This window comes from Homo sapiens, chromosome 18 (genome assembly GCF_000001405.40).
Source record: "Homo sapiens chromosome 18, GRCh38.p14 Primary Assembly".
NCBI lineage: Eukaryota > Metazoa > Chordata > Mammalia > Primates > Hominidae > Homo > Homo sapiens.
In genome coordinates, this window is record NC_000018.10 from 58113807 (window position 1) to 58139240 (window position 25434).

The 25434-nt window shown below is 46.5% G+C and overlaps 1 protein-coding gene across 25 annotated transcripts in view, besides 1 other annotated feature; it reads left to right on the plus strand.

Moving 5' to 3' along the window:
* NEDD4L (NEDD4 like E3 ubiquitin protein ligase) overlaps window positions 1-25434 on the plus strand; it is a 357315-nt gene that overhangs the window by 69581 nt on the left and 262300 nt on the right. For 2 of the 25 annotated variants that reach the window (XM_047437403.1, XM_047437405.1), the window contains exon 1: window positions 15047-15064. The exons of the other annotated variants lie outside the window; for them this stretch is intronic. The gene's annotated coding sequence lies outside the window, so the exon portion shown is untranslated. Of the gene's footprint in view, window positions 1-15046; window positions 15065-25434 lie in introns of those variants that run through there. 25 annotated transcript variants of the gene reach the window in all.
* Window positions 12133-12632: an enhancer, noted in NCBI's record as "H3K4me1 hESC enhancer chr18:55793171-55793670 (GRCh37/hg19 assembly coordinates)". NCBI's record gives its function as "activates a minimal SCP1, AML or CMV promoter by ChIP-STARR-seq in primed H9 embryonic stem cells {active_cell/tissue: H9 hESC(primed)}" and the evidence as "EXISTENCE:reporter gene assay evidence [ECO:0000049][PMID:30033119]".

Sequence of the window (25434 nt, forward strand, 5' to 3'; positions counted from 1 at the left end):
ATGGATTGGGATTGGGGGTGTGGGGTTGGTGGCAAGAATAGATGCAGGGGGACAAGTTATGAACTGAGACTGGGACCTCATGGGTCTTCCTGCCCAAGACCGAGATGGCTGGGGGTGGGGGCTGCGGCTAGGGACATGGGGCCTCAGTGCCCACGTTTTCTGTCCTCTGTCCCCTGTGAGGGTATGTGCGCTCTCATACCAGCCGCAGGGCACTTTGGCTCGCTTGTGTTGCTGGGAGAGATCTCCTTTAATGTTTTTTTGTGTTTTTAAAATATGAACGTAGGCCCTGGCAGAGACAAGGCAGAAACCACTTTTGAGTTTTTAGGGCTGTGCATTCTTAAACAACTCTGAGTGACCCTTCCATCATTACAATTTATCAACTAAATTAGAAAACGTGCTTTCACAGATTTCTAGTACTTGGGCAAATTTGTTATTTACGCTCAAGATGAAGTGTTGCTTCTAGTGACAGTTTTGCTGTTGGGCAGCATTTGTAGGGTAAAGGTGTTTTTGCTTTTGGAATCCATTGGGAGATTTAAAAAAAATATATATATATATACACACACACACACACATACACACATATAAAGTAAAAAGCAGGAAGTCTATGTGTGTGCCAGGGGATCCCAAACTCTTGGCCTCCAGCAGTCAAGAGATTTTTTAAAACCTTTATCTTTTACCGTCTTGCTTTTTAAAATCCATTATGTCTTTGTATAGTACTTGACATACATGGGCAGAAGTCATGCTGGAACGTGAAGATGGGAGCATGGACTTTCTGGAGCATCCCAGGTGGGGTTCCTGTGGCTGCTGTAAGGCAGGACCGCAGAGCGGTGGCTGCAGACAGCACGGATTTGCTATTATATCTCATAGTCATAGTCCTGTAGGGTAGAGTCTAACATGGGCTAAACTCAAGGTGTCGCCAGGGCTGTGTTCCTCCCGGAGGCTCTAGGAGAGGATCCCCTTGCCTTTCCCAGTTTCTGCAGGACATCTAGCAGCCTCAGCTCATTGTCCCCTCCCTGCGTTTGCAAAGCCAGCAGAGTAGCATCTCTGTGGCCATTCCCACATGGTCACATCTCCTCCTGGGATGCTCTCCTTCTGCCTCCCTTTGCACTTTCAGGAGCCCTTGTGATTCCATTGTGTCCATCTGGATAATCCAGGATAATCTCCCTATTTTAAGGTCTGCTGATTAGCAACTTTAATTCCATCTGCAGCCTTAATCCCCCTTTTCTGTGTAAGCTGACCTAGTCACAGGTTCTGGGGATTAGGACTCGCGCATCTTGGGGGACCGTCATTCCACCTGCGGCAGTGGTAGGCTAAACCTTAGGCGTCTGATATTGTGAACCTGGCTCACTGGCCTTTGTCTTCTTGCCGACTCCTATTGGTATTTGCCTGAGATGTTTTTCTTTTCTTTTTCATTCTTTTTTCTTTTCTTTCTTTCTTTCTTTTTTTTTTTTTTTTCTGGTTCTGGGCCCACAGTAGGTGCCTTAGAATCATGCAGTCCAGTTGCCTTCTGGGAATCCATTGTAGTAAGTGGTAGAGGTTTTTAAAGCAGTCCTAGGGGAGATGCAATTCCCTGCTTACATTCAAGTTTTTCGGGAAGACAAGTCTGTTTAGGAAACATAGGAGGTTAGTTGCATTTTCCTCATTAATGCAGGATATTAAAATATTCAGAGGGAACCCAGGAGTCCTCTCAAGATGAGTTTAAATTTCTCATACTTGTAGAAGTTGTTGAGAAATACTGGATTCTAATTTCCAGAACTCTGGTGGGGAAGGAGACTGTGAACCTGGTCTGAATTGAGAATGGGGATTGAGGATTTTTGGACTTTTGAAAGATTGACTTACTCTCTCCCGTTAGTTCTGTTGAACTGCTGCCTAAATGGAGGGAATGTGCATCCTCTCTTGTGTTGCGTGGCAATGCCGTGGGGACACTTGGGACATGAGCAAAACGTTGACAGAGGGGAGCACTTCCCGGAATATTATTAATACAGAGTTAGTTTTAACTTCACCTTTTGGGCAAACTTGACATTATAGATCTTGAAATAGGATTATTTTTCCCTTGCTAAGAGGTTAGCAAAATCAGTACAGTGTGTCTCTTTGACAGGCCCTAGAAAGCACTCTACGTTTGTTAACTTTAAATTTGGGTTGGAAATTGATGTTATTGGAGGAGCAAGGCGTGTTTAGGCCTGATGATTTTTGGATAGCTTGACCAAACCCGGTACAGCCAACTTTCCCCCAAAACTACTGTGTCCTTCTCAGTGGTTCCTGTGCCTGCACAGGGACCCAGCGCACACCCCAGTGTGCCTCTTTGGGCTCTGGCTAACTTAGGCTGACATCCTGATAGAACGCAGTGACCACCTGGTCATTTGATTACAGCGCTTCTTCCAGACAGCACGCTCAGAATTGCGTTTCTTACTTCCAGTCTTCTTGCCCTGTAAGCATTTTCTGTGAGTCACCAAATCAACCACAAAATCATTTAATTTTATGGAAGTGGAAAATCAGACTTATTAAAATACTGTGTTTTTGTTTTAAAGCTCAGAGGTATAGAGATCCATGAATTTTTTTCCATGCCTTCTCATAATGTGGTTTTGGTTTAGCTGCGGTTCTTCCAGGCGCAGATGTCAGCCCTCTGCAGATCTGCTGCATCAGAGTTTATGGCCTGGGTCTTAGGAATTTGCAATTTAAAATAACCCCTTCAGGTGCATCTAATGCAGCCTAAATTTGGGGCCAGCTCATGGGTTGTAAACTGTACTGCCCTATACAATAGTAGCACAGTTCTAAGCTCAAGGGACTCAAGGGGGTCCAGTAAGTACAGTTCACCAGAGAAATAACAAAAGCATTTGCAGAGGGAGACCAGAGCATCACCTTTGTTAGGGCAAAGGCTTAACATAGAGGAATGTGGCTTCTATGTCCAGGCCAGTGGGCTTCCTAACACAGAACATGGAATTAGGCAGACTTAACATCCCCCATGCCCACCCTGGTGAGTGCCAGCATGGGCTTGAGCTGCTCTTCACACTGATGGTCCATCCTTTGGACTGATCTCCTTGTGAAGGATACAATACAGCAAGGAGCGGGGGCTTGGCTTGGCACAGCCAGTTCTTTACCCAAACTCCTGCCAACGCTGGCCCTTCTTTCTTACCCTGGTTGGAGTGTGTGAGGGTGGGAGAGGCAGGAGGAATATGCTGGACAGAGCTTCTTCCATCTAGAAGGGAATTTCAGGAGTAAGAAAGCGGCAGCTCTTAACATACCTGGGAGAAAGCAAGTGCTTAGTAAACAGTTGAGGAATGAACTAAGAATTTTCAGACAGATTTTCCTCTTCTGGAGCATTTGCAGAACCGCCTCTTTGCTCAAGTGCTTTGTTTTTTACAGATTCATTTAAGGTCATGGTTCCAGACACTAATGTAAATCAGCACATATATTATTGAAGAAGTAGAATACCTCCAGGCCCAGTTGCCTTGGAGCAGGAAAAACAGTTCATCCTCATTACCATCCAGAATAATTTATGTTCAAGATAATACACAATCAATTTACTTTTTATCATATTCGAATTTGATTTGTGTACACTTTTGAGTTTGGATGTCAGCCACATTGCTTCTGTGTGTTAATCTTTATTTACGGGAATAAATGGGAAGCAGTCAGCCATTTTTTATTCTTTATTGGGGAACTGCATTATAGTGGAAAAGGTAAAATTATAAGCTAATGAGACCAGAGGTCTGTATGTATGAAAACCATCCTCATCGCTTCACAGTTGTCTTTGAACCAGTTTCCCTGGGATTGTTCGAAATGTAGCAAACGTGGCTCACGGTTACCCTGACGGGGCCAGAGCAATAGGGGGAGGTGTGGGCACCTGTATACATTTGCGTTGAAAAACGTACCCGGGCTATTCTGAGGTCCTTTCCTGCCCCCAGCCTGGTTTCTGGGCCTCTCTGGAGTCTCTCTTTCTGGCACTTGTGTTCTGGAATCGCTTATCAGCCTGGACTCCTTCAGCAGCAGCTGCCACAGTGTCTTTGTAGTCACACTACACACCTATATACTCCATGACATGGAGTGTATAGAATGTTTCCCGTCTTCCTCGTCAGTGCTGCCAGGAGAAGCTTCCCCTCTCCTAACCTCTGGATAGTGGCTGGCTCTGCTTTATTCAGGCATTGCTTTCATTTTTTAGAACAGCTGCTCCAGTATGCTTAGTGTGAATGACAGCCCAGCAGAAAGAATGGACTTGACACTGGAGACTGCACCACTCCACATTTCTTTGTCCCCTCAAGATGACTTAACTAGCTCCCTTCCCTTTTCCTTCATGCAATAGCCTCAGAAGTTCGGCTGGCATTGCCAAGTTGTTAGAGTGAACCTTAACCTGTGTATGACTCAGAATTCACATCTGCTGTGTCAGTGAACACACAGATCTCTTTGTGAACACATGGTTATCAAGAGGCACATGCTCTTACGTATCCTGCCGGATTCTGGTAAGGCGCTGCTTGCGCAGTAAGCACTTGTCAGGTGCTTATGATGCCTGTGACGTGAGGCTGTGGATGCAGAATTTGTGGTCTGAACATTTTTGAGTAGATAAAAATGGAAACTGAAATTGGTGAAGCAGACTTGTGGCTTTTCCTACTTTCTCATCTCTTTTATGGATATAACTAGAAGCTCTGCTTCATCAATGAGTGTGTTAAAACAATTTGTTTACAAAATCCTATTTATTAAAATAAAAATCTGAAAGAACTGCGCTGCTGCTTTTCAGTGCTCGCCACTCTAGGAACCTGTATTCCTCCTCTTGTTCATCCTCCCTTTTCTTCTTTTTTGTTTTGTTGTTGTTTGTGTGTATGTATGTGTCTGTGTGTGTGTGGCGGGGTGGTGGGGGCGGTGTTGCCAAATCTTTTGCACTGAATCTTTGAAGATGTCCTGAAATACTTACCAAATCACTAGAGCGAAGAGAAGCCCATCTGATTTCTTCATCTCCCAGCTGAGGAAGGACACACTTTCTCCCACTCTCCAGTGAAGGCCCCTGTGTCCTGTGGGTGGGGGAGCTGACATCACACTCAGTGCTGACATTTCTTGTTCCCTGGGTGGGCGCTGATTCCAGATCCTCTTCAGCCCCCCAAGCGGAACTGGGTTTCTCTTGAAGGTCCTAACCTCAGCTCACACCACCTGCTACTACCTTTCTGGGTCTTGGATTTTGTTGTTACCCAGGCCCGGGGTCATCCCAAAGGCTCTTGATAGCCCTGTGGCTGTGCTTGCTAATACACTGTCCTCATCTTTTGTCAGCGAAGTAAATCCAATAATGTTTCCTTCTCTTTAATCCAAGCCAGTCTTCATTGAAAACACTTCACCTCTAAGCTCTCAGGCTCTGCAGTCTGCCCTCTCCAACCTTACCCCTCATGCCCCACCTTCCCTTTGTCCCCATCTTTCCCTTCTGTTCCAGTCATTCTCATGGGCCATGGAGAGTGGAAGCCTGGGAGGGCTTTGCCAAAGTCCAGTTGCCTGCTCACTTTCCTAAGGGCCAGAGCAATGGGGGAGGTGGGGGAGGTGTGGGCACCTGTATACATTTGTGTTGAAAAAGGTACCCAGGCTATTCTGAGGTCCTTTTCTGCCCCCAGCCTGGTTTCTGGGCCTCCCTGGAGTCTCTCTTTCTGGCATTTGTGTTCTGGAATCGCTTATCAGCCTGGACTCCTTCATCAGCAGCTGCCACAGTGTCTTTGCAGTCACACTACACACCTTTACCCCGATCCACTGACCTGCTGTCCCGGATGGCCCTGGTGTGTTCTCTCTGTTCCTAGCCGCAGAAATTGCTGGTGAATGTCACCAAGCTAAGCGGTGTAGCTTTATAACAAGTGGATTCAGCCAGCTGGGACTGGACGACTGAGAGTTTGCAGCCCCTGCTGGACCCTGTGTAACTGTCCAGTTCGCCTAGCTATTGGTTTGGCCCAGTGGTTTTCAATTTTGGCTGCACATCAGAATCACCTGGGGGAGGTTTAAAACCCTACCTCTGCCCCCATGCCCTGGGGTTCACACCCAGAAATGCTGACTTCATTGGTCGGGGGCTGGCAGGCCTGGACATTGGCGGTTTGCTTAGAAGCTGCCCGGGTGGTTCTCATAGCAGCCAGGGTCAAGCACCACGGCCTGTTCTTACCTGGCTCCCCAGGCCCCCTTTAATCTCCCTCTGCAGCAGATTGGCACACATCGCATTGTGGAGCAAGCCATCTGATAATTTTCCTTAATCGTCTTTGAAGATCTTCCCTCTGCCTGTTGATCCTTTAAGGAAGAAGTCTCCTTGCCAGGATCGGCCTCTCCAGTCTCTGGATCCCTTCTTGCTTGCTCTCTTCAGAACCCATGAAACCTCTCTGGCTGCCTTGACGTCAGCCAGATTGGACTGCCCAAATAGAAAGGCAGAAATCCCTGTCGAGGCCAGACAGCAAGGATGGAGAGAGGCAGGGGGTGAAATGAAACACACCAGGAGGAGTAAAGACAAGGCCTTCTGATGTCAGCCAAGAGCAGGTGTGGATTAGGCAGTCCTAAGTTTGAGTCCTGGTTCTGCTATTCATTGGCCAATTGTATTCTCCCTCCCTCTACGATGAGGTTAATTACAGTTACCTCACTGGGATTTGTGAGGATGGAATGAGGTAACAAAACATAAAATACTATCAGTACAATGCCCAGCTCATAATGAGTATGCAGCAAATGTTCACCCTTTAAAAAATGCCACGGCCGGGCGTGGTGGCTCGCGCCTGTAATCCCAGCACGTTGGGAGGCTGAGGCGGGCGGATCACGAGGTCAGGAGATCGAGACCATCCTGGCTAACACAGTGAAACCCCGTCTCTACTAAAAATACAAAAAAATTAGCCAGGCGTGGTGGCGGGAGCCTGTAGTCCCAGCTACTCGGGAGGTTGAGGCAGGAGAATGGCATGAACCTGGGAGGCGGAGCTTGCGGTGAGCCGAGATCACGCCACTGCACTCCAACCTGGGTGACAGAGCAAGACTCCATCTCAAAAAAAAGAAAAAAAGTCCCTTTCTACCTTCAAATTCAGGAAAATTTTCTTTAGTCCAACAGATGTAATCCCCCCCTCACTCCCCCATCCCCACTGGTATCTTTATGTACTCAGGTGACTATTACCATATTCTGCTTGGACTGTTTTTATACATTGCAGATAATTTGAAGATATGGACTTAGGTAGGTTTTTAGATTTATAATAATTAAGTGATGTTTTTCTATCAAGTGATGAAAGTTTCAACAGATATTTGTTAAAATTTAATTTAGCCAAAGGAAGACATGCCATTTCAGCAATGTGATCTAAGTAAAAGTGTCTTCTCTTTTTTTTGGTGGGGAGAACAGAGTGTAGAATGATATTAGTAAGATAGAGAATTGATGACCAAACCATAACTGCTAGCATTTTAGTAGAGGACACAACAGAGAAAGGATTCTCACGTGTGTTATTAGGATCTTGGATGAGAGTGGGCTGTTATTTTAACTTTGGCCCCTGTTGGAGCAAATTACTCTTTGGGGGCCCGGTTTTCCTCAGGAACTACCTACAGAATTCAGTGAGATAGATTTTAGAACCCTTCTGAATGCTGCTGGTTTGGAGATTCTGTCTGTAGCAAGTTTTGTTCAGTTGTTAATCTTTCTTTCTTTTCTTTCATTCTTTTTTTTTTTGACAGGGTCTCTCTATCACCCAGGCTGGAGCAGTGGTGTGGCCCTGGCTCACTGCAGGCTCAAGCGCTCCTTCCACTTCAACTGCCCAAGTAGTTAGAACCACAGGCGAGTTCCACTACAGCTGGCTAATTAACAAAAATTTTTTTTGTAGAGATGAGGTCTCACTGTGTTGCCCAGGCTGGTCTCAAACTCCTGGGCTCAAGTCATCATCCTGTGTTGGCTTTCGAAAGTGCTGGGATTGCAGGCATGAGCCACCACACCTGGCCAACTATATGTTTTCTATGTTTATTATATTTTCTGATTTGTAATGTATTTTAAAATTATCCCAATAATATATGAATGCAATCTTGAAAAATACTCAGCATAGCCTTTAGGCTAAAAAGTGGAGGTCTGCCATTTCTCTGCCTTGCCCCATTCCCTTCCCATGTCTTATTTTCCCTGTTACCAGGTTGGTGTGAAGCCTTTGAGACCTTTTTCTCTGCACACCCATATATGTGTTTTTTCTATGTTTTTATAGTATTGTTTCATTTAAAAAATAAACTAGGTTTTTGAACTTGAGAAATTTCAACTCGTTCTGCTCAGAGCTTTGTTTTATTAAAATCAGTGCCTGGGAGTTGCTCAAGTCTTTGGGCTGTGTCGCCCTCTAGTGGTAGCCCTTTGGCTTACAGCTGCCATTCAGCCCTAGGGCTGGGGTGGAAGTGATGGTTTTGTGCCCACAACCTGATGGCAGGGTTGGCAGTGTTTAGTTGCTGACAAGTGTCTAAAACTCAATCTAGGCCGGGTGCTGTGGCTCACGCCTGTAATCCCAGCACTTTGGGAGGCCAAGGCGGGTGGATCACCTGAGGTCAGGAGTTCGAGACCAGTCTGGCCAACACGGTGAAACCCCGTCTCTACTAAAAATACAAAAATTAGCCGGGTGTGGTGGCGGGCGCCTGTAATTCCAGCTACTCAGGAGGCTGAGGCAGGAGAATAGCTTGAACCCAGGAGGAGGTTCCAGTGAGCCGAAATTGCGCCATTGCACTCCAGCCTGGGCAACAAGAGCAAAATTCTGTCTAAAATAAAATAAAATAAAATAAAATATAAAAGTCTAGTGAGCCCTGGAGTGGTGTTTGCCTTGCTACCTCCAACTTGCCCTTTTTAAGAGACTTAAAATTTGTGGTAACTTTTCACATGATGTGTATTTAGATACTGCTGAGTTAATGAGGCTGCTATACCTGGCTGATTTATTGTTTGCTTTCAAAGCAGTTGTCAAGTGGTGTCCACCCATCCCACTGATGGATTTTTTTTCTTTTTTCTTTTTCTTTTTTTTTTGAGACAGAGTCTTGCTCTGTTGCCCAGACTGGAGTGCAATGGCATGATCTCGGCTCACTGCAGTGTCTGCCTCCCAAGTTCAAGCAATTCTCCTGCCTCAGCCCCCTGAGTAGGGATTACAGGTGTGTGCCACCACGCCTGGCTCATTTTTGTATTTTTAGCAGAGATGGAGTTTCACCATGATGGCCAGGCTAGTCTCGAACTCCTGACCTCAAGTGATCCACCCACTTCAGCCCCCCAGAGTGCTGGGATTACAGGTGTGAGCCACTGCACCTGGCCCCACTGACTGTTTATATCTGTTATACTGTTCTTGCCTCTGTGCCTTTTGGGTTCCCTGTCATGGCAGCATCCTTACATCCTCCACCACCTCTGAATGTTCCCGCACCTTCTCTTTCTAATGGAAGCCTGGCTGGCCCTTGAAGACACCGCCAACCCTGCTGGTCTCTTCACAGAGTATCCACCCAGCAACCTGGCCTGTCCATTCTTGACTTCTTCTGGTCCAGCTGCCTTTCTGTACCTCATTTTAGTGACCCTTTTTAGATCTCGTCCAGGTTAGCCTCTAGAACCCTGATCTCAGGCACCCCACTCTGCGATCTTCCGTTCCCAGCCTTCCCACTTGAAATCGTCTTGGAAATCCCGGGCTTTGCCAATCTGTGGACCCACCACCTTTTCACCCCCTTTCCGGTGCCCTCAGGGGACTTTGCTGTAGCCTGAACCTCATGGTCCCTTCCTGTAAACAGCCAAACTGCTTTGTACTCCCTGAGGAGACCCCCGCCCCGGTTGGACACCCCACCCTGGTTAAACCCACTTTCACAATTATTCCAAAACTGCCAACTGGACTTGCATCTCTTCAGATCGGCTGTCATCACTCATTGTATCAGGAATCTTATTACACTTTTGCAGCAGTTTCATCGGTTCAGAGAAAACTCTTTCATACCTTCTGCTCATCAGTTCTCCACACCTCCCATCATTCTCCTAGCTGATGACTTTGCTGCTTGTCTCATTGAGGAAAGAAGCCGTTCAGTCAGTGAGACCCCCTGTCTCGCCTCCACCTTTCCACCTGCTGCCGCGGAGGCTTCCCCAGCTCCTGTCTCACTCAGGCCCCTTGCCACTCTCAAGGCATCTTCTTCCTGCTTCCCAAGGATGTCACTCCTGCAGTTAACCCTTTTTCCTCCTGCATTATTCGTTTCTTCCTTTCTTCCGCATCCTTCCAAATAGCGTAAAAACAGGCCTTATGACGTTTCTCTTTAAAAATGTCCTTACCAGTGCCACGTCCCTCTTGGCCACTGCCCCTGTTGTGCCTCACTCCGTAGAAAGAAGTGACCTGTAGAGACTATATCCTGCCCTCTCCAGCGCCTGCCTTCCGATTGCCCCTTCCAGTCTAGTAACTGTGTCCATTCCTTCTCCAATGACCGGGTGACAAGCTGTCCCTTCTGAGAGTGCCAGAGGGTGTTCCCCGGGTGGGAGGCCGGATGTCAGTGCCAGCTGTGCTGTCCTGGGTGAGCCTGTGAGGGACCACATCTGGTCAGACTCGTGCATGGCCTGCCCTCATCTTCCTCCGCCTGCGGTGCCTTTGAGAGCATTGACTCCACTAAGCCCGATTTCTGTGTGGCATGTTGTCTGTTCCTCCCCGGCCTCCTCGATGGCTCCTCCTTGGTCTCCCTCTGGCTACTCCTCTGCTTCTCCGCCTCCAAGTGCTGCTCCAAGTGCCTTCTGTGCTCTGTCTCCATCCATCCCAAACCTTCCAACACTCTCTGTAAGTGGAATCTCACCTTGAGGCTGCCAGCCCAGCCTCCTCACCTCTGTGCTCCATCTTTAGAGAGTCACCTCTCTGTCTGGCATTCCCACTTGAGGACCAAGATGATTCTCAACCTTAACGTGGCCCACATGGAGCCGCTGCTCTTCCTGCCCAGATCTGCCTTCACCACCACATCCTGCCCACTGTCACTAAACGGCACCAGCTCTTACCTGGTTTCTCAGTAAAAAAACAAGTTTATCATCTTCCCTCACATACTTTATTCAATAATAATCACTAACATTTATTGAGTGCTTCCTATGTGCCTGACACCATTCTAAGCATTTGAAGAAGAGTGTATTAACCTGCATGAGGAAGGCTATTAAAACCTATGTAATTAATTAATTAATGGATGGATGTGTGGATGAATGAATGGCAGGGTCTTACACTGTCACCCAAGCTGGAGTGCAGTGGTCCAATCATAGCTCACTGCAGCGTCAGACTCCTGGGTTCAGGCAGTCCTCCCACCTCACCCTTTTGAGTAGCTGGGACTACAGGTGCTTGCCACCAGCTAATTTATTAAAAAACATTTTGAGAGATGGGGTTTCATGATGTTGCCAAAGCTGGTCTCGAACTCATGGCCTCAAGCGATCCTCCCACTTTGACTTATAGATTGTGGGGATTAGAGGTGTGAGGCATCGCGCCTGGCCTGTAATAACCTATTTGTGAATGAGAAAGGTCAGGCACAGAGAAGTTAAATAATTTGCTCACAGAAATTTCCTGTGTTGCAGCTGAGATTTAAATCCAAGCAATGTGTTTCTAAGCCTGGGCTCTTAACTGTAACACTGTCCTCTTCCCCCCACCAGGAGGGTGTGTGTGTGTGTGTGTGTGTGTGTGTGTTTCTGAATCTGACCAGTTGAGGCAGGCTTTCATGTCATTCTCTCTGGCCACCCCCTTCTTTGTTCACCTCCAGTCTTTGGAATAGTCAGAGCGATGTGTTCATGGTAGAAATGAAATCACATCAGGTCCTCAGTGGCCCATCACATTTAGAACTAAAGCTCACTCTTGCCTCATGCCTCTGAGCCCTTATATGATCTCGAGTCACCACCCCACTGCCAGCCTCTCCACTCTCTTCTCTGTGCCTCATGCAGCCCAGGAAATATAATTTGGACCGCAAATGCCAGCCACCTATGTACGGTAACTTTTCTAGTAGTCACATTAAAAAGAAAACAGGTGAAATGAATTTTAATGCATTTTAGTTAACTCATGATATCAAAAATATTTCAACATGTAATCAGTATTCACACAAAGATTAATCAAGTATTTAACAGTCTTTTCTTTTGATCCGGGGTCTTGGAAGTTTGACCTACCACCTCTCAATTTAGCCAGCCACATCTCCAGTACTTGGCAGCTGTTTGTGGCTACCTCATGGACAGGGCAGGTCCCGCCACCCGGGCATCCGTCTGCCTGGCGCACGCACCAAACGGGTTCCAGTCTGGGGAAGTTGGCATCTGCTGTTGTTACTTTTGGTCAGAACGCCCTTCGCCTGCATCCTCACGGGGCTGACTCCCTTTAGCCTTGAAGGGGACCGTTGCTCCGAGAGGCCTGAACACTCCAGCTGCAGCTTTCTCCCCAGTCATTATTGAGATCAAATTCACATCTCTTACAATTCACCCATTTAATGGGTGATGCAATGCGGTGGCTTTTAGTATATTCACACACATGTGCAGACATCACCATAGCCAATTTTAGAAAATTTTCATCAGCTGAAAGAGAAACCTTGTATCCTTTAGCTATGACTTTGTGATTCCCTGTTCCCCTGAGCCCCTGGAGAACCCTATCTTTCTGTCTCTGTAGGTGTGCTGATTCTGAATATTTTGCATAAACGGAATCATACTAGGGGGTCTTTTGCTTGGGACCCCTTTCACGTGGCGTGTTTCCACGGCCCATCCCGTGTGATAGCATGCATCAGTACTTCATTCCTTTTTATGGCAGATAATAGCCCATTGTATGGATATACCACCTGTTTTTTTAAAAAGTCCATTCATCAATTCATGAGCATTTGGTTTGTTTCTACTTTTTGGTAGAATGATGCTGCCATGAACACTTGTGTGCAGGTTTTTGTGTGGACATAGACTTAGGAATGGAATAACCATGGAGTTACGGTAACTCTACATTTAAGCATTTGAGAAGCTGCTGGCCTGTTTTTCATCTGCACCATTTGCATTCCCACCAGCATCAAGTGGGAGCTCCAGTCTCTCCATATCCTCCCCAGCAGTCGGTTACCCTTTTCTGTTGCCTCTGTAGCACTTTCTAAACATAAAATTAGCTTATTTCTTTGCAGGTGTCTATTGCACCCCCCAGGAATGTCAGTTCCCTGCAGACTCTCACTCTGCCTTGGCACCCGCACCCCAGCACCCAGGGGTGAGGTGCCTGCCTGGGCAGCCCTGTCCTCACCTGGGGTTGACTGACCAGAGAACCCTTGCGATTCTCTCTCTGGGTTTCTGTCTGCATTCCTGTCGGGATAGGTGAGACTGGGGTGACGGCTGCTCGCGGCTTGGTCACCTTCTTCTCTGCTTACCTGTTCATGCTCTCTTGCTTTTCTCTGATAGCAAACCCCGTCTCCTGTCATCCTCCCTCCTGGCGGACCAGAGCTATACTGGCCCATAAAGGAGTGCTGGCCACACCAGGCTAGATTCCAGTTGAGCTTAAATAAAACAAATAGAAAGGTCCTCCGTGGTATTAGCCATATTGTAGGTGCTCCGTAGACACATGCGGCTAGTGGCTGCCCACAGGACGCTGCAGATGTGGACGTCCCCGTCATCACAGGACGACATTCTGTGGGCAGCGCTGTATTTGTTTACAAACACAATTCTTTGGCTGTGTGAAGGTTCAGGATGATACCTTTGCCATTATGATTCATTTATTCATTTCAGGCTGGACACGGTGGCCCACACCTGTAATCTCCACACTGGGAGGCCGAGGCGGGAAGATCGCTTGAGGCCAGGAGTTTGGGACCAGCCTGGGCAACATGGCGAAACCTCACCTTTATTTAAAAAAAAAAAAATCGGCCGGGTGCGGTGGCTCACACCTGTGATCCCAGCACTTTGGGAGGCCGAGGCAGGCGGATCACGAGGTCAGGAGATTGAGACCATCCTGGCCTAACACAGTGAAACCCCATCTCTACTAAAAAATACCAAAAATTAGCTGGGCGTGGTGGCAGGTGCTTGTAGTCCCAGCTACTCAGGAGGCTGAGGCAGGAGAATGGTGTGAACACGGGAGGCGGAGTTTGCAGTGAGCGGACATAGTGCCACTGCACTCCAGCCTGGGCCACAGAGTGAGACTCCGTCTCAAAAAAAAAAAAAAAAAAAGAATCAACATTTATTTATTTATTATTTATTTTTTTGAGACAGAGTCCTGCTTTGTCACCGAGGCTGGCACGATCTTGGCTCACTGCAAACCCCACCTCCCAGTTCAAGTGATTCTTGTGCCTCAGCCCAGTGCCACCATGCCCGGCTAATTTTTTTGTTTTGTTTTGTTTTGTTTTGCTTTGCTTTCCTTTGTTTTGTTTTGTTTGAGACAGGGTCTCACTCTGTCGCCCAGGCTGGAGTGCGATGGCACGATCTCGGCTCACTGCAACCTCCACCTCCTGGGTTCTAGTGATTCTCCTGCCTCAGCCTCCCAAGTGGCTGGGACTACAGGCTCCCGCCACTGCACCCGGCTCATTTTTGTATTTTTAGTAGAGATGGGGTTTCACCACATTGGCCAGGCTGGTCTCTAACTCCTGGCCTCAGGTGATCCACCCGCCTCGGCCTCCCAGCGTGCTCATTTATTTATTTTAGCATCCCTTCTTGTGCCTGGTTGTAAAGTTCTTCTTATCCCAGGAAACTTAATAGGTCAAAGAACCCTCCCCTTGAGGCAGTTTGGATGGGGCTGGCTGGGAATTGGTATGTCCAGCTGCCCATATCGTGGCCTCTGAGTCAATTATACAGGCATCTCGGCAACTTGAAGTTTTGAGTCCCAAAACAACAGATTCCATAGCATAAACAGTGCAACGTAAATCCTGTCCCTTGTCCCTCTTCCATTGGATACCCTTGTTTATGTTCTCTCTGGCAACTGCCTGTAGCAGGGACGGATGCTGGAAATCCTGGCGGGGCCACGTCTTCTGTGCTTTGTAGGCAGCTATGGCTGGATGGTGCTTGCTGTTTCTGTGTGTAAATGTTGGGATTTTTAAAAGCCCTTCCCCGCTTAATGCGTTGTGGTTGAGCAGCACATTTAAATGCCTGAAGTGTAAGATGAAGTCTCTTGGATGTAGAGGGCAGTGGTGGTTTTTATTTTTCCTGGTTGAACTTGGCCTTTGGATTGCTGACTGCGAGCTCACGGTACTGTTAATGATTTTCTACCTACAGTCACCTGCTGTGCTGAGCACATCAAATACAGTGCGGTTAGTTCCAAGCTATGAAGCGCCTGTCACGCATGTATAACAGGCAGACCTCATTAGGAGGGGGCCTTGCATAGGGGTCACATTTTCCAGCATTTGTTTTCAAAATGGAAATCCAGATCACGCATTTGAGATTAAAATAAAAAAAGCGGCCTGTGCTTTATCATTTTCTTTAACTTACATGCCTGCTGGTCCAGCCCAGATTGCTGATAGAGGAAGCCCTGAGAAAGTTGCCCAGCCAGTTGCCCGTGCTTCAAGACACAAAGGGCTGACTGAGGCATCCGTGCCTACCCTTGGCTGCTGCTGCTCAGCCTGCTTGCATCTCGTCTGTTTTCAGTTATCAGTGGTGTGAGAAAAACACAACGGTGGATTCAGAAGGAGAAACCAAGTCATCTGCATTTGGCCTCAGTGTGTGGACTGTCCTGAAATTTGAGTACAGATGTGTTCATGTCCTGGGATTAGATAAAAAGAGAGGAAACACACAGTGAATTCTTATGGTCTGTCATTTCAGTTGGCCATCTTCTGCCCCTCTGTTCTGGAAGCTTCTCCACTAAAATAGAGCACCCAACTTGGTTTTCTACTTGCTTTCTGGCCCATCTTGAGTTGGAGGAATCATGTGTTTCAGAACTCTTGCTGGTGGTGGGTGGGAGATCAACAAATGATTTCATTAAGCTGTGTGTTCTTAATAAACTTTGGGAAGATTTGTCGCAGAGAAACTCAGATAGGGACCTTGTGATCTCAGCAGTCATGGGTTTATCTTGTCCACACGCGTGGCTTCATTGGGATTTGGTTGGTTGCGATCCAGCAGAACTGTGGCGGTGTTGGGCTCTGTTGGGGTTTGGTTGTGAGCGGAACTGTGGTGTTGGGCTCTGTTGGGGTTTGGTTGACTGTGATCTAGTGGAACTGTGGTGGTGTTGGGCTCTGTTGGGGTTTGGTTGACTGTGATCTAGTGGAACTGTGGCTGTGTTGGGCTCTGGAGTTTGGTTGTGATCTAGTGGAACTGTGGCGGTGTTGGGCTCTGTTGGGGTTTGGTTGACTGTGATCTAGTGGAACTGTGGCGGTGTTGGGCTCTGTTGGGGTTTGGTTGACTGTGATCTAGTTGAACTGTGGCTATGTTGGGCTCTGTTGGAATATGGCTGTGATCTAGTGGAACTGTGGCGGTGTTGGGCTCTGTTGGGGTTTGGTTGACTGTGATCTAGCGGAACTGTGGCTGTGTTGGGCTCTGTTGGAATTTGGCTGTGATCTAGCGGAACTGTGGCGGTGTTGGGCTCTGTTGGGGTTTGGTTGACTGTGATCTAGTGGAACTGTGGCTGTGTTGGGCTCTGGAGTTTGGTTGTGATCTAGTGGAACTGTGGCAGTGTTGGGCTCTGTTGGGGTTTGGTTGTGAGTGGAACTGTGGTGTCGGGCTCTGTTGGGGTTTGGTTGACTGTGATCTAGCGGAACTGTGGCTGTGTTGGGCTCTGTTGGGGTTTGGTTGACTGTGATCTAGCGGAACTGTGGCTGTGTTGGGCTCTGTTGGGGTTTGGTTGTGATCTAGCGGAACTGTGGCGGTGTTGGGCTCTGTTGGGGTTTGGTTGTGATCTAGCGGAACTGTGGCGGTGTTGGGCTCTGTTGGGGTTTGGTTGTGATCTAGCGGAACTGTGGCGGTGTTGGGCTCTGTTGGGGTTTGGTTGACTGTGATCTAGCAGAACTGTGGCGGTGTTGGGCTCTGTTGGGGTTTGGTTGACTGTGATCTAGCAGAACAGTGGCGGTGTTGGGCTCTGTTGGGGTTTGGCTGTGATCTAGTGGAACTGTGGCAGTGTTGGGCTCTGGATTTGGTTGGTTGTGATCTAGCGGAACTGTGGCAGTGTTGGGCTCTGGATTTGGTTGGTTGTGATCTAGCAGAACTGTGGTAGTGTTGGCCTTTGTTGGGATTTGGTTGGTTGTGATCTAGTGGAACTGTGGTGGTGTTGGGCTCTGTTGGGGTTTGGTTGTGATCTAGCGGAACTGTGGTGGTGTTGGGCTCTGTTGGGGTTTGGTTGTGATCTAGCAGAACTGTGGTGGTGTTGGGCTCTGTTGGGGTTTGGTTGACTGTGATCTAGCAGAACAGTGGCGGTGTTGGGCTCTGTTGGGGTTTGGCTGTGATCTAGTGGAACTGTGGCAGTGTTGGGCTCTGGATTTGGTTGGTTGTGATCTAGCGGAACTGTGGCAGTGTTGGGCTCTGGATTTGGTTGGTTGTGATCTAGCGGAACTGTGGTAGTGTTGGCCTTTGTTGGGATTTGGTTGGTTGTGATCTAGCGGAACTGTGGTGGTGTTGGGCTCTGTTGGGGTTTGGTTGTGATCTAGTGGAACTGTGGCGGTGTTGGGCTCTGTGGGTTTGGTTGTGATCTAGCAGAACAGTGGCGGTTTTGGGCTCTGTTGGGATTTGCCTCTGATCTAGCAGAACTGTGGTGGTGTTGGGCTCTGTTGGGGTTTGGTTGTGATCTAGCGGAACTGTGGTGGTGTTGGGCTCTCTTGGGGTTTGGTTGTGATCTAGCAGAACTGTGGTGGTGTTGGGCTCTGTTGGGGTTTGGCTGTGATCTAGTGGAACTGTGGTGGTGTTGGGCTCTGTTGGGGTTTGGTTGTGATCTAGCAGAACTGTGGCGGTTTTGGGCTCTGTTGGATTTGGTTGGTTGTGATCTAGTGGAACTGTGGCAGTGTTGGCCTTTGTTGGAATTTGGTTGGTTGTGATCTAGCTGAACTGTGATGGTGTTGAGCTCTGTTGGGGTTTGGTTGTGATCTAGTGGAACTGTGGCAGTGTTGGGCTCTGTTGGGGTTTGGTTGTGATCTAGTTGAACTGTGGTGGTGGATCCCAGGAGCTGCTGCTGCTTGTGCGCTTCAAAGTTGGATTTTGTGTTTTTTTGTGTGCAGATGCTTCTTGGAATCTTGCGTTGCTGTATGCCTGTATACCTGGAAAGTTGTGGGAAGAACAGTTTAGGATTTTGAACCAATTTTCTCAACAAGTTTGATTATTTCATTTGAGACATGTTCTGATGTAAATATATTCTGAAAAGGTGAGATCAAACATCCACTTTTTACTCTAAAGCAGGTCCCCTTGCTCCTCTCTGCTAGTGCATTCTCTTTCCTTTACAGCTCCTTCTCCTTTCTGAAGCAGGAATTAAGCTGAAGTAACTCAGAAAGTGCCAGCGTTAACCCCAGGGGACAGAAACCACAGACCCAGGGCTGAGGGATTGAGTTTTTAATTTCCATTATTCTCCATCAGTGCGTTCAGTCTTTTGAACTTACCCTGACTGGTATTATCACTTGAAAGTTGTTGTTATTGTTGTTTTGATGGTAGTGGTGGTGGTTTTTTGCCACCCACAGGAGAGAGGGGATTAGAAGAAAAAGACCAATGGAGTTTCCTTGGGATTAATTAAATGTGGGGCTGCCACACAGGAATGGGTCCAAGGGCTGCTGTATTTAAATAACTTACTTATTTTGCAGAGGTGAATTTAACCTAACATGTACTACAGTGATGGAGTAAACCTTTTCCTGTTTGGAATATCACAAAAGGTACTTCAATAATTGCGGATCTTCCTTTGAACCCTCCTATTGTCAGATGGGGTAGTGGTACAGTTCCTTGTTCCAGAATGCTCTTAGCAAGTTGATTAATCTGTCACATACCCCAGTTTCCTCATTCACAAGGTGGCATAATAATAGGACATAGAGTTGCCGTGAAGTTTAATGAGTTAATGAATGTATGATGCTTGGCAAATGGTAGGGGCTCAAGCCAACCCTCGTTGTCTTACTGAGCTTAGTGGGCCTTGGACCTGCTGAGGACTTTGAACTGAGCATTCCGTGTTATTCTCTTTTTTGTTTTTTTAAGGGGATGAGAGTGTGTGTGATAGAGTTCATGACAATATTTTGTTTAAGAAAATTGTCAAAACAAAGTTCAAATGCAATGGATGGAAAGTGATTTTTAACATGTAGGGTAACTAGAGATTTGAGATCAGACAAATCGATTAGGAGATCACCAAACCCAAACAGAGAATGTGAGTTAACTCATACTTAGGAGATGAATGCTGGCTTTGAAGACCATAGCGTGCATTTTCAAACCAGATGGAGAGGCCACTTTTCTCTGCAGATTTCAGTTATTCGTGATGTTAAATGACTCGTCTTCTCTTACTTGCCTGGCATGTGGAACTGAGTAAATTCTGTCAAAAGAACTCACTGAAGGAATGTGTAACAGCTGGGAATTGGATGTCTTTTCAGATTTGGGAGAGCCTGTGTTTTGACTGTGATGGAATTCTTATGGTTTAATATGCTTAAATATTACTGTTTAACATTTTGACGTTTTTGAGGACAGGGATAATTAGGAGAATGCACTTATAAGTTTCTATGCCAACTGTTTCCACTGCTCCCCTGTTTACATGGTCCCAGGGTTTATACAGGGCTCTCTGTAGCCCCACAATGAATCTTGCCCCAGTGAGCGGGCTCTCACCTCCCTTCTATAGATGAGGTTGGAGCTCAGAAGAACGTAGAGAAACTTGTGCATAGTTATTATGCCAGATTTAGCAGCTGGAACAGGACTGGAACCTAAATCTTTTTTCTTTAGATAATATGTTCTTTGCATTAATGAGTTTGTGGGTTTTTTGGGAGGCGAGAAATATGTGTAAATAAGAAGTAAAAATCCTAAATTGCAAGTTGATTTTTTTTCTTAATATAGTAATACGTATAATGCAGCAAACATATCATTTCCCCTCCATGCTTGCTAGACTGGCTTATGCACACATCATGATGATAATGAAGGAGCTAACATAGCAAGCACTCACTCTGTGCTCATTCATAAGGTGGCATAATAATAGGACACAGAGTTGCCATGAAGTTTAGTGAGTTAATGAATGTATGGGGCTTGGCAAATGGTAGATGCTCAAGCCAGTCCTAGTTGCCTTTCTGAGCTTAGGAATCATGGAATCATGCTCTAAAAACTTCATGAGTATGAGCTCGCTTCATCCTCATAACAACTCTAGGAGATAGACGTTACTTTATGTCCATTGTAGGGATGAGAGTGTGAGGTATGAAAGGAAGTGAGCTTAATATTCTTTATTTTTATTTTTTATTTTTATTTTTTGAGATGGAGTCTTGTTCACTGGCCCAGGCTGGAGTGCAGAGGCATGATCCTGGCTCACCGCAACCTCCATCTCCTGGGTTTAAGTGATTCTCCTGCCTCAGCCTCTTGAGTAGCTGGGACTACAGGCGCGTGCCACAATGCCCAGCTATTTTTTGTATTTTTAGTAGAGACGGGGTTTCACCATGTTGGCCAGGCTGGTCTCAAACTCCTGGCCTCAGGTGATCCATCCGCCTCGGGCTCCCAAAGTGCTGGCATTACAGGCATGAGCTACCGCACCTGGCCTAATATTCTTAATTTGGCTGTCGGTTGTCACCCAAATCAGTTAAAGCAATTCCATTTCTTTTTTTTTTTTTTTTTTTTTTTTTTTTTTTTGAGACGGAGTCTCGCTCTGTCGCCCAGGCTGGAGTGCAGTGGCGCAATCTCGGCTCACTGCAAGCTCCGCCTCCCGGGTTCACGCCATTCTCCTGCCTCAGCCTCCCAAGTAGCTGGGACTACAGGCGCCCGCCACTACGCCCGGCTAATTTTTTGTATTTTTAGTAGAGACGGGGTTTCACCGTTTTAGCCGGGATGGTCTCGATCTCCTGACCTCGTGATCCGCCCGCCTCGGCCTCCCAAAGTGCTGGGATTACAGGCGTGAGCCACCGCGCCCGGCCGCAATTCCATTTCTTAAGTGAAAATCAGAATTTCTTTTCTTTTTTCCCCTTCTATTTTTTCTTTTAATCTTTTTTCTTTTGTCTTCAAGCAATTTTCATTTTTTTTTTTTTTTTTGATATTCAGGGAACCTGAGGCGAATGAAGGGGAGGAACCTGGGAGCTACTGACTGTGATTACAGTGGATATTCACAAAGGAAGACCTTTAGTACAGTGTGAAGTAGTGAGGGAAAGGGTGATGGAGTAGGAGGGATTTAAGTAAAACCTTTCAGGTTTAAGGTCAATGGAAAGCGAAGGAACATTCTAGAAGGACATTAGATTTTCCTTAGAGTGACATTAGAGTTTCTATAATTGGACTATACCCTTTAGTGCCTCAAATCAAGGGTTTCACATTTTCTTTTTTTTTTTGGAATTGCCTGCTCATGTATTTCCATCTCCTTAAAGGCAAGGGCTGGCCGCCTTATTTGGCTGATACTAGCCTCCATGGCATCAGCCTGTCCAGTGGAAGTCCTGAAACAGTACACGATGAATGGATAAATGAATGAATGAATGAATGAAATGAATGAGGGAAGAAATGAATATTGTGCTTCCAGAACGAGGAGAGAAGGGACGATGATGTGGCAAATTGGCCCAGCATCTTAAGATCTGTATTGACTTTAGCCTCATGTGGTAGTTTAATGATACTCTCTCTTACTCAGGGAATGTGCCTTTTAAGCTGTGGTCTGTGGTCAATGTGTGTGCACATCTCTGAGAGTCCCGGCTGTGTTGTGTTTGTGATGGCTCCCATATGTGGTTTGCCTTTGTATCTGATTGTAAATTAACCTTGACATGTAGGTCACCTGACCGTGTATGGAGAGAGAAAAATCACTTTCTTCTTCTCTACAAGCTATGTGAGTGCAGACTGAAGTTCCGAGTTGTGATCTCAAGCAGTCTGCAGAAACTAACCTTTGGCATACTTGGCCACAGCCGACTTCTTTCTAGTAAATTCCCACTGGTTCTTGGCTTTTCTTGTAGAATTAACACATTTGCAAAGTTTTCTTCATTGGTATTCCTGGTACGTGGACTGGAATATTCTTCATCCCTTGATTTGTGGGATCGTTTTGTCTTTGGGCCACACTTGTCATGGGAGGAAAGTCACAGCTAGACTGGGTATGGAAAGAATGGAAGTGTGTCTCCTGCAGGGAGAGCCCAGGTTATTGAGACAGTCTTGGCCCGTGTTTCTTGAAGAAGACGTTGGGTTTTGTTTTGCTCATTGATGGCCATACCCCTTGTGTGGTTGGCCAGGAAGCTGAACGCTTGCTCCCCCTTGTGGCTAAATACAGGTGGTTCTGCTGGCAAACCCAGTGGTCAATTACTGCATCTACTAAGGATTAAGAAGATTATAAATGTAAACTCAGCTTGAAACTTTTTGTGGCTTAGAGGTAAAGCAAGAAAATAATTAAGATAACAACTCACATGCTGAGGGTGTTTCATGTGTTATTATTGTGGATGTTAATAACAATTTTGGCTCTCTGTGGGAAGCCATTTCCTTCACTTAATCAGTTGGCAAAGAAAGTACATCAGGGAAGATTGTTCACCCTGAGCCGAGAAAGTGGAGTTTCAAGTAAGAACCCTGCTCCGCATCCTGCCACTGAGTTGAGATCATCTATTTGATTTAGCTACTGATAAAGTGTTTTTAATTACAAATTGTCTGCTTGCTTGGGGACTGACACAAACACTTGTTTTGTTTTCAAAGTGCCTTCTCTCCCCAGTGTTGGGTTTGGAGTAGAGCAAGAGTAACACAGAGGTTGCAGTCAGTGTCTTCCAGCGATTTTCATTTTGTTTGATATGCGGGGAACCTGATGCTGATGAAAGGGAGGAACCCAGGAGCTACTGACTGTGACTACAGTGGATATTCACAAAAGAAGGACCTCAGTACAGTTCCAAGTAGTGAGAGGTTGATGGATTAGGACAGATTTAAGTAAAACTTAACAGGTTTAAGGTCAAAGAAAAGTGAAGCAACATTCCAGAAGGACCCAGAAAAGCCGAGCAAGTCAGGCACTGAGATCTTGGGATTGAGAGGAGTTGCTGGTTCAGACCCAGCACTGTTCTGGAACTTTCTTTTGGGTACTCTTTTTTTGTTTCATCGATTCCTTTAAAAGGTACAATCCAGAACTGAACATGTCATTCCACAAGTGGCCCAACCAGTGTTGTATACACTGACTGGACAGGTTTTGCCACTAAAATGGAATAATAGTCTGGTTTTCCTAATTCCAGGAAAGGAAAATCAAGGAATAGATACATTTTTTAAAAAAGCATTTAAAGAATTTCTCCTGTAGACATTATCTTAAACTTTTGGTCCCTGCCATTGTATGTGTATCTTGAATCCAAGGGTAATACGATACGCAGTCTGGCAAAAGCAGTCATTTTAAATGATTGAGCAATATTTAGTGACTTTCAAAGAGCAGAGAGCACAACTTGGCTACCATAGAAGCTCCACCATGATGGGCGCAGGGTTTCCTCTAGGCTGGAAGTTGTGTTCTGGTTATCTTGTGAGAGAAATGCATCCTGTGTGATTTATGTGGATTCATTTATTCTTAGAGGAAATCAGACAAAAACCATATTGTAAGGCCCAACCCATCTAAAAAGACAATAGAAATGAGTTCTGTGTGTTTTTCAGCAGGGCCTCATGGGCACCACTCGTAAGTCCAGAATCTCTTCCAAGAACAGGAAGTTTCTGGAGGGCAGTGGAGAAGGGGAGTGAGGGCTCAGCTCTGTGAGGTCGAGGTGGGTGTGAGGACCAGCACCAGTGGGGAGTGGGTTTATTAGCTGGGAAAGGCCATAAGGATGAGGAAGAGAAGCTTGTGTTTGAGAGGATAACAGGGAGGAAAAGTCGCCGAGCCCAGAGTGTGTATTCACTGCCTGTCCTTTGGAGGCAGCCGCTTCCACCTCTTTTGACTGATTCTTCCAACTCGTATCCTCCAGTCTCCAAAACATGATTGTGGTGCAGCTGCTTGAATTTTCAAACTTGATTTCCATTTTAGAAGTTAAGGATTTGTTTTTTTTTCCAACCACATACCCTGTCGCTACCACATCAAATACAGGTCTCTCATACTGTTGGTCAGCTCCGTTTTCCGTGTTGACCTCTGATACTCTGTAAACACTCTTGACACGTAAGCTGGGTGGTTTATATACCACCATTACTTTTCCTGCCCAGCTTTGTCTTTTTCTTCCTTGTATTTTATTTGTAAAGATTCCCCAGCTCGTCCCCAGTTGTGTCAGCCTCTTTTCAGTGTGCTCAGACCCATTAGGTATAAGGCCTATCCATGTTCCTGAGGAAGTCTGGCCCAGAGCCGTCCAGGTGGTCTGACCTGGGCAGGGCCCCGGGTCTGCCATCACCCAGCCCATGCTCTCCTGCCGCCCCACTGAAGACTTCCTTCACCTCTCTTGGACGTTAGGGTTTCTCTTTGATGGCTCCTCTCTTTTTCTGGGTTTCTGATATTTTCTGGTTGAGTGGTGCTACTTTCTTCTAACCTATTTTTATTTCATTAAATAAATAGGATTCACTAAATGGATTTCATACCCATGGGTTGTATGATTTGCACTTTGAAAGGCACTGGGCTAGATGACCACTTTGAGTGATGCTGAGGCATTGCTGGGTGACTTCCTTCTTTCCTTCTTCCCTCCCCTCCTCCTCTTCCCTCCCCTCCTCCTCTTCCCTCCCCTCCTCCTCTTTCCTCCCCTCCTCCTCTTTCCTCATGAAGCATGTGCACAGGTGCATCCCTGATGCTTTGATCAGGTATGGCCTGAAAGACAAGCCATTTTAGTTAGTTTTTGGATACATTACGAAGTAATGTGGGAAGTAAGCATCTTCACCTGTCCCTCTTCCCTCCTTGGCTGAGGGACAGTGTCCTAGTCAGTTCCATGTGCTGTGACAGAGTACCATAGGCTGGGTGGCTTAAACAAAAAACACTTAATGCTCACAGTTTTGGAGGCTGGGAAGTCCATGATCAAAGTACTGGCATATCTGGTCTGGTGGGGACCTGCTTCCTGGTCTGCAGATGGCCGTCACCTTGTTATATCCTTACATGATGAGAGAGAGAGAAAGCAAGCTCTGTTGTGCCTTTTATAAGAGTACTAATTTCATTCACAAGGGCGCCATCCTCATGACCTGATCACCTCGTAAAGGCTCCACCTTCCAATACCGCCATCTTGGGGATTAGGATTTCAACACATGAATTTTAGGGGGACGCAAACATTCAGTCCCTGACAGGGTTAGGCACTGTGTGGCTGGCAATCACCAGGATGCCTGGAGCCCTGCCGGGACCACGCTGGCTCATTTCAGCCACCCTGGATGAATCATCCAGCCTAAGGCCCATGCCTGGACATTCTGGGTCCTCAGTGCCTTGCCTTTATTTTACCTGATATAATCCTTCAAACGAAAATGCTTGTACTTATTTTTGATCACTTAATATACTTGGCCATTTAACAATACAGATTAAACTTGTGTTATTCTGTTAGAAAACTGAGAGATTGTTTTCTGTAGTCTTTGACTGCATGCATAGTCTAGGGCTGGACTTGGGAGGAGAGGAT